This window comes from Homo sapiens, chromosome 8, assembly GCF_000001405.40.
Source record: "Homo sapiens chromosome 8, GRCh38.p14 Primary Assembly".
NCBI classification, from domain to species: domain Eukaryota; kingdom Metazoa; phylum Chordata; class Mammalia; order Primates; family Hominidae; genus Homo; species Homo sapiens.
In genome coordinates, this window is record NC_000008.11 from 73,618,193 (window position 1) to 73,645,205 (window position 27,013).

Below are 27,013 nucleotides of genomic sequence, written 5' to 3' on the forward strand. Positions count from 1 at the left end.
GAGTGGGGAAGATAAACAATAAGAAAAATATGTAGAATACCTAGTATGTTAGATGTAGATGTAAGAAAAAGTAAAGAGGAAAGGGTTCAGAAGTGTCAGGGAGGTAGGTTTTAGATAGGGTGGCCAAGAGAAGTTTCATTGAGAAAATATCAATTGTGTAAAGACATGAAATAAGTTAGGGAACAAGCCATGCAGATCTCTGGGACAGTGCATCTGAAGCAGAGAGTATACCAGCAGCAAGGGCAGCGAGGCGGGAGTGTGCCACACATGTTCAAGTAACTCGGAGGAAGCCTGTCTGGCAAAAGTTTAGGGAGACAGGAAAAGCTAGATGAGAAGAGGTGGCAAGATTCCATAGGGCCTTCCCTACAAATTGCTGTAGGCATTTTTAACCCAAGTGAAATGACCAGCCACTGGAAGGTTCTGCACAGAGAAGTGACAAAATCTGACTTATCTCTTGGAATAACCATCTGACTACTATTTTGAGGACACACTGTAGGGGAACAATGCTGGAAGCAAGGATATCTAATAGGCTACTGGGATAATCAAGGGGAAAGGTGACAGTGGCCTGAACTAGGGTGTAGCAATGGAAGTAACGAGAAGTCATTGTTTCTAGATGAATTTTGAAAGTAGAGATGATGGGTTTACCCAAAGACTGGCTATGGAATATGAGAGGGGAGTCAGGGATGACATCACGGTTTCGGAACTAAACAACTGGAAAATGGAGTACCCATCTATTGAGACAGTGAAGATTGCAAAAGAAATGGGTTTGCTGGGGGTGGATTTCAACAGCTCTGTTTTGGGGATATTCAATTATTAGACCTATTAGATATCCAAGTGTAGATGTCAACTGGACAACTGAATTTATTAGTCTGGACTTCAGGAAAGAGGTCCAAGATAGAAATAATATTTGGGAATCATCAGTATATAGGTGGTATTTAAAGGCATAATATAATGAGAACTCTGTGGGAGGGTGTGATGGGAGAAAAGCCAAGCAAGCACGATGTCCTTCCTGAAAGTCAAACAGGAAAAAAGTCTATCAAGGAGAAGGGAGGGATTAACTGGATCTAATGCTACTAACAGGTCAAGTAAAATGATGACTGAGAAATATGACCACTGAATTGAGCAACTTAGCAAAATAAACAGAATCGATTTTGATGGAATGGTGGATTTACAACTGCAATGCTGAAAAAAATGAGTTAAAAATCACTCCAGTCCTAAAAAATGTTTGTTTCCAAGCAAAAAGAAGTCCAATTGAGGTCCTACTATATTTTAGATAATTACTGCACATCCAAGTAGTGACGCTCTATGTCCAACCTGAGATAAACTGGATAGAGCGCATCATGTAAGCATTCACCAGGCAGATGGGACTAATCAATGAAGGTTTACTGAAGGTGAAGAACTAGAAATGTTGATTGGTACTGAAGATGCAGATTTGTGAGGCAATAATTGAAACCATGCAAGTGGATAAGCACCTGGAAAGGGTAAGTGTAAAGGAATCAAAAAAGAGCCTAAGGCTCGGAACTGATTAATGCCTGTGATCAAAGTGCAAGGGAAACAATAGACAGCAGTGAAAGAGATGAAAAAGGGTCAAAGTTAGAAGAAAAATTACAACACAATGTCAGGGACAGGAGTAATTAACAGTGTCAAATGAAGGAGAGGAATTCAGAGTATGAAAAAAAAGAAAAAGTTGCTGTTTTAAATGCTTAACCTAAAATCAATTTTCTTGAACTACAGTTTTCTATTAATTTAAGATAACGCATTTTAAATGTTTTTATTATAAACAAAGATTAAAAAGCATTAAAAAACTATAATCTTTTTTGCTTTTTGGTTACAACAATTAAATATTGTGTACTGAAGTGCACAATTTCCTATCATCTATTTTATTTTAATCCCTTTAATGCAGAAATTTATTTTAATTCCTTAATGCAGAAATCTGACAGACTAATATGAATAACGCCGGTCATCTTCACTTCATATTTCTCAAAATTCAATTTTCCCACCTCCACATAACTTTGTTTATTTTTAACTGGTGGTACTATAAAACTTTAAAACAGACAACTTGAAATCAGAAATTTACTCCTGAAGTGAGATCTCATATGGCAAACTTTCACCATAGAGCAAATGTTTACAATTAATTATAAACTTCTGAAAATAGAAGGTCCACAACTGAAATGCTAACAGACCTTTAACTACAGTAGAGGGAGTGGGCGCCACTATAATCACTAAGGCCTGCTGACAATTACAAAACTCATTTTGGTTTGCCACAGAGACAAACAAAATTTCTGTTCATTGTAACTTTACTGGAATATGATGTCATAACACATAACCATACTGAAACAATCTGCTGATTTTCTGGCCAAAATATTAATTGCACACCAAAGAGCCCTTGGGGCCTCTCCCTTTTTGGTCATCAAATATGGCTCAATGTATGTGTATGTGCATGCATGTGGATATATATGTATATATAAATTATATTGTGTAAGTATCAGAGGAAAAATTAAGTATGTTGCATTTTTAACATAAAAGGTAAAAATTCTAGCACTAACAACAGGAAATACCAAGACTGGATGCCTGACTTATTTCATTCTGTTTCACTTCATCCTCTTACTTAACAATGATTCTTAATAATATACCCCACATGGTTTGAATACCTTATATATCACATCTCCTCATACCATCATGACAATCAAGATTAGCCAGAGCACTCTCATTAATTGCATCCAGATTGAATTACAGGGGAGATGATGCAGAATGGTTTTTGTGTGATAGGTCTGGTCTCAAAATACTTACTTCCTTTGGTAAAGAAATACCCAAAGTTTATTAATTATAAAGATCGATATGTTCTATTTAGTGGATTTCCTTCTACTTTCACTTATTTCAAGTATTAAGCTCACTTTTAGTAAGGTATTTGATATGGTTTGGCTGTGTCCCCACTCAAAATCTCATCTTGAATTGTAATCCAAATTGTAATCTCCATGTGTCGTGGGAGGGACCTGGTTGGAGGTTAAGTGAATCATGGGGGCGGTTTCCCCCATGGTATTCTCATGATAGGGAGTGAGTTCTCACAAGATCTGACGGTTTTATAAGCGTCTGGCATTTCCCCTGCTGGCATTCATTTCCTCTCCTGCTGTCCTGTGAAGAGGTGCCTTCTGCCATCCTGAGGCCTCCCCAGCCATGCAGAACTGTCAGTCAATTAAACCTCTTTTCTTTATAAATCACCCAGTTCAGTCTCGGGTATTTCTTCACAGCAACATGAGATCAGACTAACACAGTAGGTATAATAAGTGATGTACATATTTTTACAAATTAGTATATTTACCTAAGCAGACATAGCTATTCTTGAATGATTTTTCTCAAGTAGAATTCTGTGGTCAATGTTTAGATCCCCATAATGATTACTGTTAAAAGATGAACCACGAAAACTCCCCCATCCAAGTTATTTAAGTTTCAGGGTCAAATGGTTGCATTTCTTTTAAATCCCAAAAAAGTCTTGGGATTTGAAAGATCCTACTTTCATCAGAATTATCTTCCATGCTTGTTAAAAATGAAGATTCCTGTGATCCAAGCCTGATCTGCTGCATCAGAGTTTCTGAGGATGGAACCATAATTTTAAGCTGCCCTGCTGACTCTCTGCACGATAAAGGTCCAGGATTATCACCACATCCCACAATGTGGCCCATGTGACTTGGCAATTGCTTCAGAGTCCATTCAAGGAGACCACACACAATGCTTACTGCACAATGGTTAGGTCTTTCTCTCTTTTTTTTTTTTTTTTTTTTCCTGAGACGAAGTCTCGCTCTGCTGCCCAGGCTAGAGTGCAGTGGCTAGATCTCGGCTCCCCGCAAGCTCCGCCTCCCGGGTTCTCGCCATTCTCCTGCCTCAGCCTCCCGAGTAGCTGGGACTACAGGCGCCCGCCACCATGCCCAGCTAATTTTTTTTTTTTTTTTTTTTTTGAGACGGAGTCTCGCTGTCGCCCAGGCTGGAATGCAGTGGCGCAATCTCGGCTCACTGCAGGCTCCGCCCCCTGGGGTTCACGCCATTCTCCTGCCTCAGCCTCCCGAGTAGCTGGGACTACAGGCGCCCGCCACCTCGCCCGGCTAATTTTTTGTATTTTTAGTAGAGACAGGGTTTCACTGTGTTAGCCAGGATCGTCTCAATCTCCGACCTTGTGATCCGCCCGCCTCGGCCTCTCAAAGTGCTGAGATTACGGGCGTGAGCCACCACGCCTGGCCAGGTCTTTCATATCTCTTTTTCATTTAATCCTCACTACAGCCTGGTGAGGCAGGAGATGTCCCCAAGGTCACCTTAAGAGGTAACAAATGTCCCCAAAAGAGTTGCTGGGAACCAAATTTAAGTCTGCCTAACTGCAGAGTCCAGGAAATTCCGTATGGAGCTTCCTAAAAATCTGCTTTATCTTCTTCCATTTTTGTTAATTTTTGTTTATTAAATTGTCTATCTTCATGGAAGGCCAGAGAACCTAATGCAAGGGATCTAAAGTAAGGCCCACTGATAGACTTCAGAGATGTTTTATTGAGTGAATGGCTGCTGAAACAAACAGACAACCATGATGAAACACTGTGTTTCTGCAGCATGTCAGATCAAATAGACACAAGTGCATGACGTAAAATCAAAGTGAAACATCAAAATGAACAGCGTTGTGTGCCACATTACTTAACAGACTAAATCTGACAAATGCTGCTTGCAAGGCCTTTTTATCCCCATGTCTCCTTGCCTTCTAACTGCTGGAAGTCTTGCAAAAAATAAATAAAATTGTAAATAAAATAAAATAGAATCTTCCTTTCCTTTAGATCCCAAACAAGTCTTGAGATTCAGCCTATCTTCAAGATACCACAAGTCAATACAACAGTAAGAAAGAATGTATACTGGTTCCTTTGATTTAATACTTGATATTCCTTACAGTTTTTTTGAGTAAAGGAAAGATTTTACATTCACTTATATCTGACTGTTAGTTGTAGCAACTTTTTATACCACATATCCTTGCCAACCTCCCTAAAGTTACTTCATTTAATGCCCTCTTTATGGACTCATTTTGTATTATCTTTCTAAACAACTAAAATCCCGTATGTCCTCCCTACCATTCTGTGACTGTTTTATTCTCCAACATCTCCACTTTCCTGAGTATCATTTTTACAAGGTGAGAAAGACATATCCCAAATAACATTAGGATTTTTACAAATTGAAAAATAATTACCTCATTCTATTTGATAGCATTATTCATAAATCTCAACACAGCTTAAACATTCATATCTCCCCTACAGACTTACATCTTAAAATATATGAAAATGCTATCTTCCGATCTAATAAGGAGAGGCTTTGGATTTCTGTGTTTATTTCTAACATTGACTGGAAACAGAAATGTCACTTAACCTTTCTATCTCAGTTTACTTATCTACAAAATATTTGTAGAATTTATGTTTAAAGGACCCTAAAGGCCAAAACTAAGAATTCAAATGACATGTCGATTATTTTGACTCTTTGTACACTTTTTGGCACTGCTAAGCATTCTTTTTCTTGCTGTAGAAAAACAGCAGGTTTTTATCATAGAGCTATAAAATAGTCCTTGGCACATTTTCAAACTTGTATGTATATAAAATATCTAGATAGAAGACAGTTCTTTCTCTATTCATATCTACAAATTTTGAAAAATATATCTTTTATGAGATCTAACTGTTAATTCTTGAGGAATTTCAAATATTAGGACTGATTAGAAAAGATTCACAGGTCAGATGAAAATATGCTTTAAAAGAGGTGTATGGATATTCTATTTGTAGAATTACTGTAAGTATGTTTTAAATGCCTAGAGGAAATATAGAAAGATATGCACTAAAAGCTAGGATAGGGTGTTTTGAAATGATAGCATTATAAATGATGTTCTTTCCTCTCATAATTTCAAGTTTTAAAAAATAATACGGTACACTAGAATAAAAATGGAAAAAAAAATACTTAATTGAAGGAAGTCTAGTCCCTATCCAAACAAAGGTAAATCTGTGTTTGAAATTAAATTTGATAAACTAGTGGAATGATTTATGGAATACAGAACACAAATCAAGAGAATAAGTAACTTGTACTGTATCACTGACAGTAGTGCCATAATCAGGACTATGCAAAGCACAGCACGTTATCAAAGAGCCCCATTATTGTAAACACACAATCACCACCCTCAATCTCATACTTGGAACCAACATAAACTTGTTCTTGCCCCTTCTCTAAATGGATATATAGATAAATCATTATCACATCACCATTATCATAATTAGAGCTAAAACATACAAAGCACTTACTATGTGCCAGGCACTATTCCAAGCATTTAGATACTAATCTCACTGAATCCTCACAACCCCACTTCATTTTACAGATGAGGAAACTGAAGAATAGAGATATTCACTAACCTTCCCAGGGCCACCCGACTTGAGCTCACATTTGAGCCCAGGCAGTCTCACTCCAGAACCCATGCTCATAACTGCTATACCATGCTGCCTCTGAATGAACTGGATAGATGAACACTATAAACTGCAGAAGTACTAACTATAAACTCTGAAGAAGTCATGCTGGACTGGGAATATCAAAGCAACTTAAGTCTCTCTAGATGTATGAGATCTGGCAGATTCTGAAGATCTCTGTACGCCAAAAGTCAGGTGCAGGATATCAGCTGCCAAAGGCAATGATGGGGACACTGTAAGTCTAGAAGACCAAGTTGACTGCAAAGTCCTATTTCCTCTCTGCTCATTTTTTGTCTCCTCTTAACCCACCCATCTGGAGCCCAGGTTTAAATGTTCTCATTAGGGAAATGCAAATCCAAACCACAATAAGACACTACTTCACACACCCACTAGGATGGCTATAGTTTAAAAAAAAAAAGTCATAAAGACATGGCAAATTGGAACCCTCATACATTCTGGTGGGAATGTAAAATGGTGCAGTTGCTATGGAAAATAGTTTACCAGTTCCTCAAAAAATTAAAAGCAGAATTACCACTTGACCCAGCAGTTTCACTTCTAAATATATACCCAAGAGAAATGAAAACTGGGGTTCAAACAAAAACTCGTAGGTAAATGTTTACAGCAGCATTATTCCTAATAGTCAGAAAGTGGAAATAACCCAAATGTCCCGATGAATAAATAAAATGTGGTATGTCCCCACAATGGAGTGTTTTACAGTCGTACAAAGGAATGAAGTATAATTACATGCTACAACATAAACGAACTTACATTATGCTAAGTGAAAGAAGCTAGATACAAAAGAGTATATACTCTATGATTCCATTTAGACAAAATATCCAGAATAGGCAAACCCATAGAGACAGAAAGTAGATTAGTGGTTGCCAGGAGCTGGGAGGATGGAGTTTGAGGAGTAACTGTTAACAGGTATGGGGTTTCTTTTAGGAGTGATAGATATGTTTTGAAATTAGACCACGGTGATGGCTGTACAACACTGTGAATGTACTAAATGCACAATGAATTGTATACTTTAAAATAGTTAATCTTGTGTTACGTAAATTTTATTTCAATACAAATCATTTTTTTAAAAAATGTTGATACTCCCTAGGGTTCTATTTTGTTTCTCACTGACAAGACAGTTTTTGTAGGTGATCTCACCTACTCTCATTCACATTCTTGGCAGACTCCCACAAACTAGCCTACCAAATTTTGTAAAGGGAAGTGTAAAAGACCTCCCTTTTGCACTCTAGGATGTTACTGACCTGGTCTTCTTCCTACTCTTGTCTAATTGCTAGGGGGGTATGTGAATTACATTAATAATTCAACATATACTTATTAAAGGCCTACTTCATGCTGGGATGGAGTTTTAGTTTCTAGAGATGGAGGACTGCCCTCAGGAAACTATCAATCAAGTAAGTACACATACACACACACACACACACACACACACACAGACACATACACATCAACAAATGAGATGAGCTAGGAAGAAAAATAAAGCATGGTATAGAAAAAGATTAACAGGGGCTCCTTTAGGAGGTGACATTTGAACACAGATTTGAATAAAGTGAGAATTCTAGGCATGGAAATGCCAGAAAGAAAAAGTGCTCTAAGCAAATAAGACAGCAAGTGCAAAGGCCCTGCAGAAATAACATGTTGGTTGGTCCATTTTTGAGAAAGGGCAAGTGTTCCTTGTACCTGACAAGCCCTGAGTCAAGGAATGATTAGTAGGAAACTAGGTCTGAGAAGTCACCAGGCAGCAAATCAGAACTTAATTCCACATGATGGAAGCCACTGGAAAGTTTTAAGCAGGAAAGTGGCACAATCTGACATGATTTAAAAGGATCTTGTTGCTATTTACCCGAGGAGAGGCAAGAAGAGAATAGGTGACAAGCCATTCCATAGTGCAGGAAAAGTCATCTCTAAAAATAGGAGACTGAACTGCTCAAGAAAATATAGGATTGCAGGCAGTGCTACAATTTCACTTAAGGATTGTGGTCATTATATCAAGGTGGACTAGTCAGCATAGATGTTTTTCTGTAGCTTCCTAGGAGCAACTGCAGCAGAGTCAGAGGAGCTGGAATTAACCAGTTACAGTTTTGCCAAGCATCGCTGCTCATTCCAACTGGGAGGCAGTAGAACACACAGGAATTAGGTAGCCATAGGACTAGTGAAAAATGGGTGATCAACTCTAGTGAAAAGCAGCCACGCTGAATCTGGCAGGTGAGGAAAGGGTGCACCCAGCCTGGAGGTTCTGCTCAAAGTCTTCAGGTGCTAAAGGACACCACCCTATTTCTTGCCCTCCTGGTGGTCAGACAGTGTGTGGCAGAAGCAGTAAGATGTGCCTCCCCTGTGGTGGCTGACAAGCAAAGCAGTGCTGGAAGTGTTCCTACTTTGCAACTGTGAAGAAGGGTCCCTGGCAAGGCGATCTGGGGGCCTCTTCTTCCAGTGTGCTGCCACTGTGTTCCCCTGGGTGCTGCAGCAGGCCTGTCTGAGAGGTAAATGGCTAGCACTGTGGAAACCAGCAGAATTGTGGAGTGATGCTGCAGGAATACGGCGGGGGGGGGGGGGGAGGGGGGGGCAGGAGGGCGGGTTCCCTGGAGTAGTATTTCTCAAGTGGGTCCCACATAGAAAACACTGGAGTCTTCCTAATGGGGTCTAGAAACACTTGCTAAAAAGCAGATTCAGGGCTGACCAAAGGGATTCAGGATGGAGTCCAGGAATGCGCACATTACCTAACAGCCTAGGTGGTTTGCACACATGCTACAGATTGAGAAGGGCCTCGTCACAGGGGCCTTCTTCCCTGTTTGTGAATACAAAGGCTTCTGATTCCTGAATATCAACTTTGTACTCATCTGCCTTACAGAGTGCTCTTCCTGTCTTTAATGGGATTTTAGTTAATTCTCTCACCATTTGTTTCATAAGAAAAAATTAGGATTTTCCTATTATTTCCAGAATTTGTTTTTCCTATTTATTTCCACAATTTATTTTGCTAATTTTGTTGATCCAAACTTCCAAAAGAATACTAAATAGCAGCTGATAAAGAATATTCTTATTTCTTACTTGAATGGGAACACGGCTAGTAAATACTCATTAAACCTTGTTAAAAAAAAAAAAAAAACACTGACAGTGTGGACAGAGGAAAATATTTTTAGGTTTAGAATAAGATCTACTGGATTTAAGTTCCAGCTACTAGATCTATAAAGACTTTGGGCAAGAAGCCTTATGTTCTCTAAGAGCCATCAGTAATAAGAACAATTTTGTCTGTATCAACTTTCAGCTTTATTCAAGTGACAAACCAGTTGAAAATTATTATACTTTTCATGAAATATAGCATATCTGTGTACTGAGGGACAATTTTCAAATAGATATATATGTTCACACATATACTCTGCAGTTCAAAAACATACAATTTTTTTTAAAATGTAAGTTTTTTTTTTTTGAAACAGGGTCTCGTTCTGTCACCCAGGCTGGAGTGCAGAGCATGATTATGGTTAACTGCGGCCTCAACCTGCTGGGCTCAAGCAATCCTCCCATCTCAGTCTCTCAAGTAGCTGGGACCACAAGCATGTGCCATCATGCCTGGCTAATTTTTTTTTTTTGTAGAGACAGGCACTCCCTATGTTGCCTAGGCTGGTCTTGAATTCCTGGGCTAAAGCAATCCTCCCAACTCGGGCGCCCAAAGTGCTGAGATTATAGGCATGAGTCACTGTGCCCAGCCACTTTTAACTTTTCAATATATATTCACTAAATACTGCATGCTAGTAATCTAATAGCAGAATCTTACGTACTAAAAACTTATGGAAAATATGGCTTATTGTTTCTTTGAGTTGTAAGAATATTCCTATTATTTAATTCCAGCAGCAGATATCATCTTTGGTTAAGGGTTCTCTGAGAATGCACTTTGAAAACAACTAGTGTAGAAAATCTCTCAAGTCCTTCCCACCAACAAAAGGATTCACGAAACGAGCTCTAGAAAATACTTATAAAACTTCTATCTCTCCATTAAGTCCACAAGCATATGTTTTTGAAAAGTTTGTTAGAAGTATAAAAAGCATGAAAGTATAAAAGATACAAACATACTGGATTTTTTAAAAGAGGGTTTACACTCTTTTTCGATAAATTAATTTTATAATGTCTATAATAAAAGATTCAAATGGATGATTACGTTTGCACTAAAATCTTCCAAGAAGTTTAAAAACTGTTTGCTTTATTACAACGTCCAGCCCAGGCATCTACTCCAGTGCTTTTGCTGATCAGAATTAACTATCAACTTTGGATGTTTGCCCACTTCACATACTCCCAAAAGTAACATGGAGACATTACATCAGCGGTATTGCAGAAAGATTAATGTGCTTTGTTTGGAGATGCAAACTAATTATACTTACTGCATACTTCTAGTATTCTGTCTCTTTCACTCAAATCTAAATGAATTTAGTCATACATTTGCATACAGTTTAATGATAACAATAATGTATAGTTAATAGATACTCACTGGAACAGAAAAAATTTACTTGGCATTTTCCCAGCTAATTGTTTTTACAGCTTGACTTCACTTTATACATTAGGTGCATTCATAAAAAGGTTTACATAAAGCAAATATTTTCATACTAAATCCCATTTTCCCACTGTTGCCCAATATTAAATCTTGAGTTATATTTCTACAGGAAAATGCTGGCTCCAACACATCATAAAAATTATAATTAAAAATCTAAACATACATGCCAAGGAATAGGTATGTTTAATACATTATTTTACAAAACACTTTATCCTCTCACCTGCGATAAGAATTAATCTAAAAGATAATCATTTTGTTTCATAGTCTCACAATCATTAGAAGGACACGTATGTTTTAAAAAAATTGCAGGGTTTTAAAGTAGCTTCGTAGAAACTAAAAGTAGAAATATAATTTATTAGCTGGAACTGCCACATGGAGATCTCCTGTCAGATTTTAGGCAATGCAAATAGTCTCAGATTATTGACAGTAATCATTTAAGGGTCTTAGAAATTTCTTCGGCTATGAGTAACACACTTTGGGGGGTTCATTACAATCCAAACCAGATGATTTACTGGAATTATACAGATGCTCTGGAGCCAATACCACTGTCTGACTCGAAGCCCACTTTTCTTTTTTGAGGCAGGGTCTCCCTCTGTCACCCAGGCTGAAGTGTAGTCGTGCGATTATGCCTCACTGCAGCCTCAACTTTCAAGGCTCAAGCAATCCTCCCAAGTAACAGGAACCACAGGCGTGCACTACCACACTTGGCTAATTTTTTTTTATTTTTATGTTTTATAGAGATGCTTTTCAAAGAAATAGGAAAATGAACTTTGCTCAACTACCTGGATCCTTTCATACTGTTTAATATTAAAAGTGTAAAAAAAGCAACATTTGCTAAAATAGTACAGTACTTGGAACTTTAAGAAAACTCTTCCACTTTTAAAGTACCTTGGATTAACGTTAAACAATTTATAATTTTCAGTCATTTTAAATTAATTTGTAAAATTTTTCCTGCACAAATCCTCTGGGGAATGCACTATGTGGATTTCAATTACCTATGCTCTCCTTTTCCTGCATTGCTGCAGATACGCAAGGTATGCTTTTACATCGGTTAGTCAGTGTGAACTGTCTCTTATTCCAGGATGCACACTAAGCTGAGAACTATCCAATCCTCTTTATCTTTGCCATGTACCCTGAGGTAAAACACAGCAACAAATAAGGGAGATGATATTGGTAGAGACAATATTGATATCCAGTCTGACTACCACACATAGGAAGAGGCTGAAGTAATACTTAGAGCTTTGAAAGGCTAACAGTTTTGGCCTCGGGTTATGATGGTTTACTCCTGTTCACAATACAGATACGTGTATTTTAGTCACACTAAATACAAAGTGTGGCCAAAGACATTCTTTTCTGTGGACAAAATAGTTTTTGAAGATATTCTGAAATAACTCAGTCATCATGACATCCTACTATTCCCAAAGAGTGGATGTTGACATGAGTTAGTGTAGCATAGCAGAAAAAGCACGAGCTTTGATGACATATTACTCCTGGGCTGGAGGGCCAGCTCAGCCCTTTACTAGCTGTGTCACCCTATGCAAGATACATGCTGTGTCAGAACATAGTAGCCCCAGGAAATCATAGTTGTTGGCCTCTTTCCCTCTTGACAACTAATCCATCAGCCTTCTTTGATATTCTACAATGTTTCTATGAAGCTGCAGCATCTCTAAAGCTTTTGGTTATTCCCTGTAAAGAATACCCTTAGCTGTGGTTATGCTGGCAGAATCTCTAGACTTTCATTTCACACGCTCAGTGGCACCCCTAGTTTCCCATTAGCGCTTGTACCATACCCGGGAGAACATCACTTCATGCCTGTCTAGGAGATCTGACATTTGGTTCATTGGTCACTCAAGAATGCCAATCTAGGCCAGGCACAGTGGCTCACACCTATAATCCCAGCACTTTAGGAGGCCAAGGCAGGAGGATCACTTGAGGCCAGGAGTTTGAGACCAGCCTTGCCAAAATAGCAAGACTGTCTCTACAAAAAACATAAAAAATTATCTGGGCATGGTGGTACACCCTTGTAGTTCCAGCTACTCAGAAGCGGAGGCAGGAGCATTGCTTGAGCCCAGGAATTCAAGGGTACAGTGAGCTCAGCATCAAATGTACCCTTGCGGTTTGAGTACCACTGCACTCCAGCCTAGGCAATAGAGTGAGACCTCATCTCTTAAAAAAAAAAAAAAGAGGAATAAAAAATGAACACCAATGCAGTTCAAAACACCAAGCAGTGTGCAGAAGATAAGCTGATAAATTCAGATACTATAAAAACCAGTAGAAATCAACTAAATAAGCCTCTGGAAGAATTTAATGTAAAATAATAAATAACATTACTACAATTTTTAAAAATTGTAAAGGCCATTTATTTACATGTTTGGGGTTCTGTTCTACACAGACTGTTCTGTATAGACTGTTCTGTGACCTGTCAGTCAATTACAGTACAGGAGTCTAGTAACTCATTTATCTTTAAAGAAGTGCATCTTGACCAGAGAACATGAGAATGTCAACAAATCATAAGGAAATAAATAAAGCAAGTTGGTCAAGGTCCTTGTAACTGAAGCCAAGAAAAAGCCTGGGAAATTAATGAATAATAAGCTCCCAGGAAACTCAAACTGAGAAAAGCAGTAAGCCATGATGAGAATAATACCTGAGATGATTAAATATATAGTCCAAATATTACTGCCTACGATCCTAAATCTTACCCACCCGCAAAAGAGAACAGCCAAAAAGCTGAAGTTGCTCATTTTTATCTCAATGAGAGAGAGGAGGGATAAGGACGAGGCAAGAAGGGGGGAGGAGAGGGAGGGAGGGAGGGAGGAAGACAGAGGGAGGAAAGGAGAGAGAGACAGCACACGAACACGAGCAAGAGAACAAGGGCAAAAAATACTTGCTGACAGTAGGTATGATATTAAGAATATTGTATTATATTGCATTAGAAATATAGACGATTGAAAGCTGACATAAAGAACTGATTTGGATTTAGAAAAGATCAGAATATAAGATAGTTTTATTTCCATTTTAAAATGAGTATGTAAACAACTATTAAGTTCAGTACATTAAAAAAAAAAAAAGTCTTGCTGCCTTTATTGATTTGGAGAAAGCCTGCCACATACTCTTACAAAGACAGGATGTCAAGCAAACCAATAAGTCATTCAAACCCAGTGTATATAAGGTTCCTTAAGTATTTGAGGAATCAACATGGAGAATTCTGAAAATCTGAGACCCACATGGGAGTAAAGAAAGAATGCATCTTAAGCAAATTTTACTTATTGTTCTCTTTGTTATCCTGAAAAAGTCACTCAAGAGAACAAAAAAGGGTTTGCAAATAAGACCATATAATCCTATTTGCAGAGGATGACACTTCTTATGAGACTTAGAAACCTGCAATACAATCTGAGCTTATAAGACTGAGAACTCCAAAGCAGGAGAGTGATCAAGACTGACAAGAGTATGACCATGGTGATCTCTCAGGAAGCTAAAATCACCCCAGTTATGCATAAGAAATTCTGGCCAGAAACTGAACACTTCAGAGCTGGTGAACTCATGATAAAATCAAACAGATGAAGAGCTAAACTTATAATCTTAGTTGTCACTTGACTCTTGTTTAATCAAAATGTAATTCTAATATAATCAAAATAAGTATATCCTGTTACTTCTCAAATTTAGAAAGGCCAGACTCCCCTGCAAATGCTTGAGAACCCTGTATTAGACCTCATAGTTCCTCAACAAAGGGAAAAGTTTAGAGTAAATGATACGCATGCTATTCCAGGAATAGTGTTCTAGGAAGGCTACAAAAGGGACAATTTCTGCTTATACACAGGGAAAAAGGGAGTTGTATTCACTGCAGCCCTAGTGTATGGTATCCAGCATGATACCTAGCACTTAAAAGGAGTCCACTACATATCTGTTAAATGAAGGAGAGGTTATAGCTAACAATTACTGAGTGGTTTACTATATGCCGGCACTGAGCATGCAGTAACTCATCTAATCCTCACAATAGCCTGATAAGGCAAATACATATTGTTATCATTTCCATTTTACAGTTGAGGAAACTGAAAAACAGAGAAGATAAGTTGCTTGGCCTAGGCGGAACCAGGTTTCAAATGAAGATAGAGTGGCTCCACAGCACCCCCTAACCTCAATACTACATTACTATATTCCTCTCAACTTAAAAGTGAATGATTGCAAGGGAGAGACAGGACCAGCAAGGGCCAGGTTCTCAGCTATGTGGGAGTAAAGCAATCAGGACTAGCAGAAGGACAAGTTCAAAGTGAAAGGATGCATGTGAGATCTGAATGGGGAAGTGCTGGGAGTGAATGTACTTTGTGACTATAGACTCCAAGTACCTCTTAACATTGGGCATGATCTGACCTTGAGGCGGCTACAAGATGAGGATGGGCTAGATCAGTGGTTTCATCTTTGCCTATATACCGGAAGTACATGAGGAGCTTTAAAAAATACTGAGGACAAGTCAGTAAGAAAAAGACCACTGAGGCCAGGCACGGTGGCTCATGCTTGTAATCCCAACACTTTGGGAGGCCGAGGCGGCTGGATCACCTGAGGCCAGGAGTTCAAGACCAGTCTGGACAACATGGTGAAACCCCATTTCTACTAAAAATACAAAAATTAGCCAGGCGTGGTGGTGGGTGCCTGTAATCCCAGCTACTCAGGAGGCTGAGGCAGAACTGCTTGATCCCAAGAGACAGAAGTTGCAGTGAGCCGAGATCATGCCACGGAACTCCAGCCTGAGTGACAAAGCGAGACTCCATCTCAAAAAAAAGAAAAAGACTACTGAATCAGCACAAAAACTAGCACAGGTTATACACTTACAGACCACAGAAAAGGAAATATAAATGATTTTATGCATATGAGAAGATGTTTGACCTCATTCATAATCAAAGAAATGCAAATTAAAATGCCAAAGAGGTATCATTCTTCACCTAATTATATTGGTAAAAAACTCCAAAACATTCAAAACAGCCTCGTCTCTAGTCTAGATTATTGTAATAACCTCCCAACTGCTCTCTTAATCAGCAAAACGGTTTTTATTTATTTATTTATTTATTTTTTGCTCAAAACCTGCGTTGGCCGGGGTGGGCGGATCACGAGGTCAAGAGATTGAGACCATCCTGGTCAACATGGTGAAACCCCATCTCCACTAAAAATACAAAAATTAGCTGGGTGTGGTGGCACACACCTGTAATCCCAGCTCCTTGGGAGGCTGAGGCAGGAGAATCATTTGAACCTGGGAGGCAGAAGACATAGTAAGCTGAGATTGCGCCACTGCACTCCAGCCTGGCAACAGAGTGAGACACCGTCTCAAAAAAACAAAAAATAAAAAAACCTACATTGGTTTTGCATTTCATTCATAGTAGCCAGAATCTTTACAATGGCCTACAAGGCCTTACATAAATCAGGCTCCCAGTCACATCTCTGGCTTCTTCTACCACTCACCTCTTCACTTACTCTTCTCTAGCCACACTAGTCTCCTTTCTGCTCCTCAAACTCACCATATAAGCCTCCACGTTAGGGCCTTTACAATGGCTGATCTCCTGCTTCTCCCTCAGACATCCTCAAGGCTCACTCTCTCACCTTCTTAAAGTCTTCGCTCAAATCTCACCTCTCAGCAAGACCTAATTCAAATTGTGATTCCCATCCTTTTACTCAAACAGGGCTCTATTCTTCCTATATAAGCACTTTTCACTTTCTAATCTACTATACAATGTACTTGTATTTATTTTTTATTTTCTATCTCCCCCAACTAGAATGTACACTTCATGAGGACAGAAATGTCTGTTGATGTACTCCAAGTACCCATAAGAATGTCTCACCACGTGTATGTATAAAGATACATTCTGCAACACTGATAACATCAGAAGATTCAAAACAACTAAATGTCCATGAATACAGGACTAAGAAGTTAAATAAATTACAGAGAAATCACACAGTGGGATACTAAACCGTTCTTAAATAAATAAAGCAGTAACCCTATTTCCAGTATGGCCAAGTAAACTCTCACTGAACTGATTCTCCTGCAGGAAACAATAAATTCTGAACAAACTGTAAAAAAACAATCATCTAAAGGTACCAAAAAGTCAATGAAACAGGTGGACACTGGAGGCAAGTTAACATCTGGAAAAAAAGAACAGCATAGGATGCATTTCTCTCCCTTTTTTTTCTTTTAATAGCTTGAATTTGAAGGCAAGCCCATCTATTCCATGTGAAATAGCTAAAATGCCACTGGAAAATAGTCATACTGGTTTGAAGACCCAGCGATAAGGGCTCATATTCCAAAGCCCCTGGAATATGGAGGAGGAAATATTAGAAATAAAAATCTGAGGCCGAGGGCGGTGGCTCATGCCTGTAATCCCAGCACTTTTGGAGGCCAAGGTGGGTGGATCATGAGGTCAGGAGTTTGAGACCAGCCTGGCCAATATGGTGAAACCCCATCTCTATTAAAAATTTAAAAATTAGCCAGGCATGGTGGCAGGCAACTGTAATCCCAGCTACTCGGGAGGCTGAGGCAGAAGAATTGCTTGAACCCAGGAGGCAGAGGTTGCAGTGAGCCGAGACCGCGCCACTGCACTCCAGCTTGGGCAACAGAGTAAGGCTCCGTCTAAATAAATAAATAAATAATCTGGAGAGAGAGGGAGCTTCATATTCTATGTATAAAACTGTTCGAATCTCTATCTGACCCCTGAACCACACACACACACACACACACACACACACACACACACACACACCCCTGGAACCAATTCAAAGAAATTTAGCTACGAGATTAGAATTTGAGGTGCCTGCCACCCAATGCAGAAAAGTTTTGTTGAGACCCCAGCCAACTAACTGCCTGCCTAAAAAATTTTTTTGGCCAGGCATAGTGGCTCACGCCTATAATCCTAACACCTTTGGGAGGCCAAGGCGGGAAGATTGCTTGAACCCAGGAGTTAGAGACCAGGCTGGGCAACATAGCAAAACCCCATATCTATAAAGATAAGACAACAAAACCCCATATCTACAAAAAATTAGCTGGGCATGGCAGCATGTGCCTATAGTCCTAGCTACTCAGGAGGCGGAGGTGGGGGGATCACCTGAGCCTGGGAGGTGGAGGTTGCAGTGAGCCAAGATTGCACCACTGCACTCCAGCCTGGGTGACAGAGTGAGGGCCTGTCTAAAACATACACACACACACATACACACACTTCACAGGAACATAATAGAATCTAGGTTCTACAACATATAATTTTACAATGTCCAGAATACAATCCAAAATTATTCAACATATGAAACAGGAAAAAATGATCCATTCTCAAGAGAAAAAAAACTGTAAGCAGAAAACTACCCTGAAATGACCGAGATGTTAGAATTAGCAGCAAAGGGCCGGGTGTGGTGGCTCATGCCTGTAATCCCAGCACTTTGGTAGGCTGGGGTGGGTGGGTCACTTGAGGCTATGAGTTCGAGACCAGCCTCACCAACATGGCAAAATCCTGTCTCTACTAAAAATATAAGAATTAGCCGAGTGTGGTGGCACACAGCTGTAATCCCAGCTACTCAGGAGGCTGAGGCATGAGAATCGCTTGAACCTGGGAGGCAGAGGTTACAGTGAGCCAAGATCACACCACCGCACTCCAGCCTGGGTGACAGAGGAGACTCTGTATTCAAAAAAAAAAAAAAAGGAACTAACAGCAAAGTTATACTATGTTCAAAGAGATCAAAGAAAATATGCTTTTAATGAATAAATGTATGGAGAATTTCAGCAGAGAACAGTAATTATAAAAAGTAGCCAAACAAATTCTAGAATATGATATTCAAATTTAAAATTCACTGGATAGACATAATAGCCAAAAGGAGATGACCAAGGAATTAAGATTAATCAACAGAAATTATACTACCTAACTATTAGAAAAAAAGAAGTTAAAAAAATGAACTGAAGCTTAGGGACCTGTTAGACAAAATTAAAAATAATTAAAATTAAAAAAAAGGTCTAACAGAAGGAGAGGAGGAAAAGGGGGGAACAGAAAAATATTAAAAGACCTAAGACCCAAAAATTTCCTTTGGTAAAAGGCATATTTACATATTCAAGAAGCTCAGTGAACTAGATTAATATAAAGAAAACCACACAAGATATGTTATAGTTTAACTGCTAAAAGCTAAAAAGACATATTATTTATGGGGAGCAACAATTCAAATGATGGATGACTTCTCAAGAGAAAAAATCTGAGGCCAGGAGACAAGTGGAACAACATCTTTAAAGTCTTTATAAAGTGCTGAAAGTAAAAAAAAAAAAAAAAAAAAAAAAAAAAGAAAAGAAAAAAAAGAAAAACTGTCAACTCCGAATTCTATATTCAATGAAAATATCTTCAAAACTGAAGGCAAAATAAAGATGTTTTCAGTAAACAAAAATTCAGAGAAATCATTGCCAGAAGACCTGCACTACAGGAAATACTAAAGGGTGTTCAAACTGAAGAGAAGTAAAGCCAGACAGAAATCTGGATCTTCAGAGAAAACAAAAACAAAAACAAACACAAACACAAAAACAAAACAAAAAAAGGGAAATGATAGATATGTGGGCAAATAAATTCAAGACCTTTTTCTCTTAATTTCTTTAAGATATAGACTAAAGCAAAAAATCATAACATTGTGGAAGTTATGATCTATATAAATGTAATACAAATGACATCTATATATGGGGTGGGAGTTAAATAGACCTATATGGTTGCAGGGTTTCTAAAATTTTCATAATCAGTTTAGAAAAAATAATGCAGCTTCTTACATACTGACATGGAATGCTGTTTAAGGTATTTTTCAAAGGAAAAAAAAACAGATTCGGAATACTATTACAGAATGATACTTTCTTAAAGTAAATACATATACATATACATATCCAGAGAATATCCTGAAAGGATAATACATGAAACTGGCAGGGGCAGGGGCAAAATTGGGTAACTGGAATGCAGGGGTGGCATAGTATTTACATTAATATTTGAATTTTTTATATTTTATACTGTATAAAATAAATACAAAAAATTAAATACCCACAAAAATAAAAAAGTAAAGGCTCTGAGAACTTCTACAATAAGAAAACGTTTAAATTTTCCTTGATCCAGCATTTTACAAACCTATATGACTATAGGAAACTGACTCCTCTCCCTTTTTCAAATAATAGCTATTTCTATCCCAACAGTGACTGTGTATTGCTTACACCATATTAAAAAACACTTATTTTTTTAAATCAATTTTTTACTAGTTGTACCAACTAAATCTAGTAAGAATATAACCCAGGTCATTTGAAATATTCTTTTTTTTTTTTTTTTTTAAAAAGAGTCCATCAGAGTAACTTCAAATATAATTGCAATTTCACTGGCAGTCTAATAAAATTCCACCCACTAAAGTTCTAGACTTAATATTTTCCAAGACATTCTTAAATTCAGTCACTGTCCCATGCTTACCTGTTTTTAAAAACTCATTAGGTACCTCTGTTATTACTGTCCAAACTGAATGATATCAACTATTTCTGAAAACATAAAAAATTGCTTGTTGAACATACAAATGATTCCATAAGAAGATGCCACAATATATTTTAGTTGCTAAAGATTAATATGAAATGATCACATGACCTGAGTCATATTCTTACTAGATTTAGTTGGTACAAGTAGTAAAAAATTGATTTAAAAAAATGTGTTTTTTAATATGGTGTAAGCAATACCAGTCAGTGTTGCAACAGAAATAGTTGATTAATATGAAATGATATCAACTATTTCTGAAAACATAAAAAACTGCTTGTTGAACATACAAATGATTCCATAAGAAGATGCCACAATATATTTTAGTTGCTAAAGATTAATATGAAATATAACCATTATTTTGATACAAAAAAGAAAAACAAACCCACAAATTCTTGTTAAAGTTCAACAGATATTATTTAAATTGTAGTATCTTGTTTTTAACAATTTAACAGTTTAATAGTGAAAATTTTTTCTATGATACATTAATTTCACTGGTTCGAGTTTCTAAATCCACTTGAAAATTTTCTTTAATAGTATATTTTATTCAATTTATCTTTGTACCTACACTAACAAAGGAAAAAGAATACAATTTGTGAATACCCAGAAATTCCTTAATCATGGAGAATGTATACAATTGTTTCTATGCTCTTTGAAGGGAGGACATGATCCTAGTTTCATTTGTGCTAACAAGGAGAATTTATTACCAAAACATCTGGGAGATGAATGAGATGCTAAAACGAAAGACATGGAAGCCTAGCAACATATTCTAGTCTAGCTAACCCTTCCTAAGAAAAAAAGATAGTACTAATAGTAAGGTGCTAATGAGCCGTACTTGGTACCCTCATGCTCGACAACCTTCTCAGATCACTCAGGTTGAAAATAAACTTCTGTATTACAACTGAAACTAAAAATTACACTGAAAAGGACGTGTTTAGCACCGTAGAGGCTCCTACATATTTAAAGCTACTTCTTTAAAATTCCATGTTTTAGATGTTTGAACAAGACATCAATAATTCCATTATCCTTGTTCTGGTTTGATATTATTTTTATCTCTCCCAAACCATAAAATTTGCAAAAGAAAAAATTCAACTGCAAAATTATTCAATATTTGGAAACGAAAATTTAACAAACCCTCTTAAGAACCAATAAAAGCTATCAAATAGAATACAAATAGATACATAAAATTTTATACACTGGTAACAGCATTCAAATCAAAGAGGTGAAGTATTCTAAGAATATTTACTCCAGTTGTGTTAGGAACAAACTAAATTATGACTTCCTCGGGCCAACTAAATCCAGTAAGAATAACATTCTGTTGCTAATATGATCATATGAAATAATTATTTTTAAAAAGAACTTAGCCTATCAAAGTCAACTTCAAATATAAAAAGTGTTCCCCATCAATCAACTGTATAGAAACAATATAAAATTATTCAAGATTTATTTTACAAAGATACTTCTCAAACCCAAGTGCTTCCTATAATAATACACATCATATACTGTTTACTGATCAATAGGAAAAAAGAAAAAAATGAAACAAAATTAGAATAAAATATACAACTTCTACCAGAAAAAAAAAGAGACTAGAACCAGCAGGGACAAATAAGTGGAACTGATTAGAAGACACTGACTTAAAGAATTGGTTATATATAAAACATAGCTTCCTATATTGGATATACCTAAACTTATAATCCCATACACTCTATTATTCATTAATACAGACTAGAGGTCCACAAACGTTCTGAAAAGAGCCAAATAGTAAATATTTTAGGCTTTGCAGGCCATAAGGTTTCTAACACACCTTCTCAATACTGCTGTTGTATTGAGAAAGCAGTCATAGACAATACATCAACAAATGAGGGTGGTGGTGCTCCAATAAAATTTTGTTTTTATGGACACTGAAATCTGAATTTCATATAATTTCTACACATCACAAACCAATCTTCTACTAATTTTTTCAATGATTTTTAAATATACAACCTTAGATCATGGGACATACATAAAAAGAAAGCTGTGGGCTCTAGACTGCCAACCCCTGCCTCATCTAGAAATACATGAAAAGTAGTTACTAGAAATACTTTCCAAACATTCTTTCTAATAACTGAATATCAATAATGTTGCATTTTTACTATGCCATTATTTTTACCATATGTAAGTTCTAAAACAGTATAATCTGCCAAAATAATGACGGAATCAAAGCTAAGAAAGCTAAAATGAAGTATTCTTAATATTTCAAAGCCACAAAAAAGAAGCAATAAAAAAAACAGAAAAGTGTTGTTTCATTACACATTCCTAGGTCATAAATTTCACGTAGACTTAAACTAACTCTATATAATACTTGCCCACTGAGTGATACAAAGTTATTAGTTATATTATGCCAAATTTAGAATTTCATTAATTCCAAATGTAATATAGTATTAAAATGTGGCCAAAAGAATCCTGGAGCCTGGGTGACATGGTGAAACCTCGTCTCTACAAAAGACACAAAAATTAGCCAGGCATAGTGGCCCTTGGACCACCTGGTCTATATTAACGAGCTACTAGGGAGGCTGAGGTGGGAGGATGGCTTGACCCCAGAAAGTGGTGGTTGCAGTGAGCCAAGATGGTGCCACTGCACTCCAGCTTGGGCAACAGAATGAGACCCCTGTCCTCCTACCCTTGCAAAAAAAAAAAGAATCCTGGTAGTTTCATAGTTAACACTGTTTCATATGGTAATACTGAAATGTCTTAGAAAACTCAAAGGACAAAGTTGTGAAAACTGTATTTTAATTATAGCTTACCCTTTAACTAGTTGTTAAGATCTTCAGCAAATCATGTCAGCCAGCATTTCCTAAAGTTTGCCCTGTATCCACAGATCATTCATTAATGTAACAGGATCTATGGCCAATTGAGTCTGAGAAATGCTACACATTATATACATCTCTAGAAGATTTATAATGTACTTAAGCAGATCATAAATTCTGAGAAGTTCCGCAGTAAAGAAAACTGTTGGTTTAATCTGGTATTGTCCAAACTTAACCACTTTTTGTGTGTCATACTTATTAACATCCAAAAAAACCTAAAATTTCTTAAAACATACTTTAGAAAATTTTCTAATCTCTAGTCGAAATCAGATAAACATCCCTTTGGGTTCTAAATTTTAGAATTCTGTGAGACTAATTCTAAGTGGTAATTTTGTGAAAGCTGTTCAACTATTAAGTTCAGGTTTACAAACCTGGAACCTCTGGATCAAATGTACTCTTTTATACTCCCACAACACTATGAACTTCCTCTACTAGAGCACTTATCTTTAAGTAGACATCATTTCTCTAACTTTCTAGACTTACTCCTTAAGTGGGAGATGGAACCATCCTAGTTTCTTCAACACTTAGGAGAATGCTTGGATCACTCACTAAATGTGTTTCGGTTTTGGTTTTGTTTCTATTTTATTGCAATAATCTCCCACTTGATCTACCCATAACCACTCTTGCCTTTCTCCTACTGCTTCTCTATGCAAACATGGTCAGGTCTCCCCCACTCAAAAACTTTCATCTTTGCCAGGTGCGGTGGCTCACGCCTGTAATCCCAGCACTTTATGAGGCCAAGGTGGGTGGATCATGAGGTCAGGAGATCAAGACCATCCTGGCCAACATGGTGAAACCCCATCTCTACTAAAAATACAAAAATTAGCTGGGCGTGGTGGCATGTGCCTGTAATCCCAGCTACTCACGAGGCTGAGGTAGGAGAATCTCTTGAACCCGGGAGGCGGAGGTCACAGTGAGCCAAGATCGCGCCACTGCACTCCAGCGTGGCGACAGAGCAAGACTCCGTCCAAAAATAAAAAAAAAAAACTTTCATCTTCCACTCTTCTGAAAATGAAGACCAAATTTCGTAAAATAGCCCTGGAGGATCTAGTCTCTGCCTACCCTCTCCTGCTTTACCTCTTTTATCACTGCTTTTCTTTATTTTATCTGCTTTAGCCATACAAAGCTAATAAAGATGAAACTAGACGGCATAGAGAAAAAAGCAAGGCAGGGGCCTGGGGAATGTCAGGGTAGGACAGGGTGGAGTGGGTTGGGGTGAAATGAAAGGCAAGACTGAAAAGGTTACATTAGACCTTGGCAAATGAGAGAGAACAGAAAATAAATACCTCTAAAATGGGAGTATACCTGACTTGTTTGGAAACTGCAGCCAGTGTGGCTGGAGTGAAGTTGGAACAGCAGGGAGCAGCAGGTGGGTTAGAGAAGTAATAAAGGTCTGAAAAAGCAGGGCTTTGTAGGGTGATGTATATGCAATCAACTCCCATAGTTACCTCTCTCATCTAGATCTCTCCTGAGTCCAGTCTCCTACATGAAACACATATTTGACAACTCCTCTTGGATGTCTTACAGACATGTCTATCCCCGAAGTCTTAACTGCACTCCAAATCTGTTTCTTCTCCATTCTTTCCCATCTCAGTAAATGGCAGTAACCTCTATCCACTGGCAAAAGCAAGAATCCTAAAAGGTTCTCCCACTAAATTTAGAATAGACATGAAATTCCAATTAAACATCCTCCACACTAGGCAGCTATAGCCTTTAATTAATATAGCAAATATGGTAAAGACCCTAATCCCATACATACAGTACTCCGTTAAGTATTACCACCCAGTCACATATTACACACATACAAGAAGGAAATCACTTGCATCTGAGTCCCAATCAAGGAGTTCACATTCCTATGGGGGCAGAGACTAGGTGAAGTGGGACAGTGAATCTGCATATCCTCTGAAATGCCCAATGTCCATCTAAGACAAAATGGTACCTGTACCCAGAGGGTTAGCCCAAATAGTATAATAGCTTCGAGCTAAGAGGTAGCCATCATGGAGGAAGAGGTCCTTATGGCCTCTGACAATATCAATTTAAAAACAGGAGGTCCAGTGAGCCCATCAAGCAAGATCAACATACCATATACCTGTACTTTTATACTCTAAAAAGAGATGGGAACACAGACTAGGAACTACTGCCGTGTTTGAAAATGCCCCCATGTTTGTTTTCTGTGCTACTGTCTGTTACTTCATAGTGACTAGAAACAAACTCTACAACAAAAATGACAATACATTATGGTGTATTACTACAGCAGAATACTATGTAAATTTATTAAATAGTTGTACACTTAGTTACATGGAAACTCATAACACATTCTGAAGTGAAAGCATAGTATATAATTTGCATAAATAGATACACTCATATAAAATGCTACAGCTGCACCTCTGGTAAGCCAAAGGTTTGTATGGACTTGTCCTAGAAAGCAGGAAAGTGAGGAACTAAGAAGGCAAAATGAAAAATTAGAAATAGATTTTGAAAAGTAAGTTTTACAAACTTACCTGACAAATTTAAGAGAAGTGAAATTATACATAGTGTATTCACTGACCACAATGGAATCAGACTAAACATCAATAACAAAGATAACAGGAAAAATCTCCAAACACTTGGAAACTACACTTCTAAAATAATCCAGGGGTCAATGAATTAACAAGGGAAATTTTTAAACTGAACGAAAATAAAATACAATATATCAAAATTTGTGAGATGCAGAAGTGAGAAAAATTCATAACACTAAATACATAGATCAGAATTAGCCAGGTGTGCACCTGTAGTCCTAGCCACTCAGGAGGCTGAAGCAGAAGGATCACTTGAGCCCAGGAGTTTGGGGCTGCAGTGAACTATGATTATGCCACTGCACTCCAGCCTAGGCAACAGAGTAAGATCCTGTCTCTTAAAAAAAAAAAAATGTTATGAAGAATGGTCTGAGAAAAAAAAGAAAGAAAAGACGAAACGTTTCAAATAAATAATCTAAGCCCACACCTCAAGAACAAAGAACAAGAAGGGGAAAGTAAATCTAAAGAAAGCAGAAGGTAGTAAATCTAAGAAGAGAAATCAATAAAACTGGAAACAGAAAAAAACTATACATAAAAGCAATTAAACAAAATCTTGGTTCTTTGAAAAGGATAATAAAACTGACAAACTTCCAGCAACACTGACAAAGAAAAAAGAAGACACAAATCATCAATATCAGAAAAGAATCAGGGATTATCACTAGAGATCCTGTAGACATCAAAAGAATAAGGGAATACTAAGATCAATTCTACACACAGAAATTTGACAATTAGACAAAATGAGCCAAATCCTCAAAAAGCACAAGCTATCACAACTTACCCAATATGAAGATGACTTGAAAAGCCCTATAAGTATTCAATAAATTGAACTCATACATTTAAAACTCCTAAAAAAGAAAATCTCCAGTTGTGGGTGTTTTCAGGAAGAATTCTGCCAAACTTTTAAAGATGTAATGTCTACTCTATAAAATCTCTTCCAGAAAACAGAAGAGGAGAGAATGTCTCCCAACTCTTTTTATGAGTACAATAGTATCCTGATATAAAAATCAGAAAAAGAATGCCAAAGGGGTTATGGTGGGGGGAACTACAGACAAATATCGTCCATGACTATAGAGACAAAAAACCTTAATAGAATATTAGC

General features: G+C 37.5%; 1 protein-coding gene across 7 annotated transcripts in view; it reads right to left on the bottom strand.

Annotated features, from left to right (window-relative positions):
- The window catches only part of STAU2 (staufen double-stranded RNA binding protein 2), a 327,112-nt gene that overhangs the window by 197,824 nt on the left and 102,275 nt on the right, over nt 1-27,013 (bottom strand). The window lies entirely within an intron of this gene.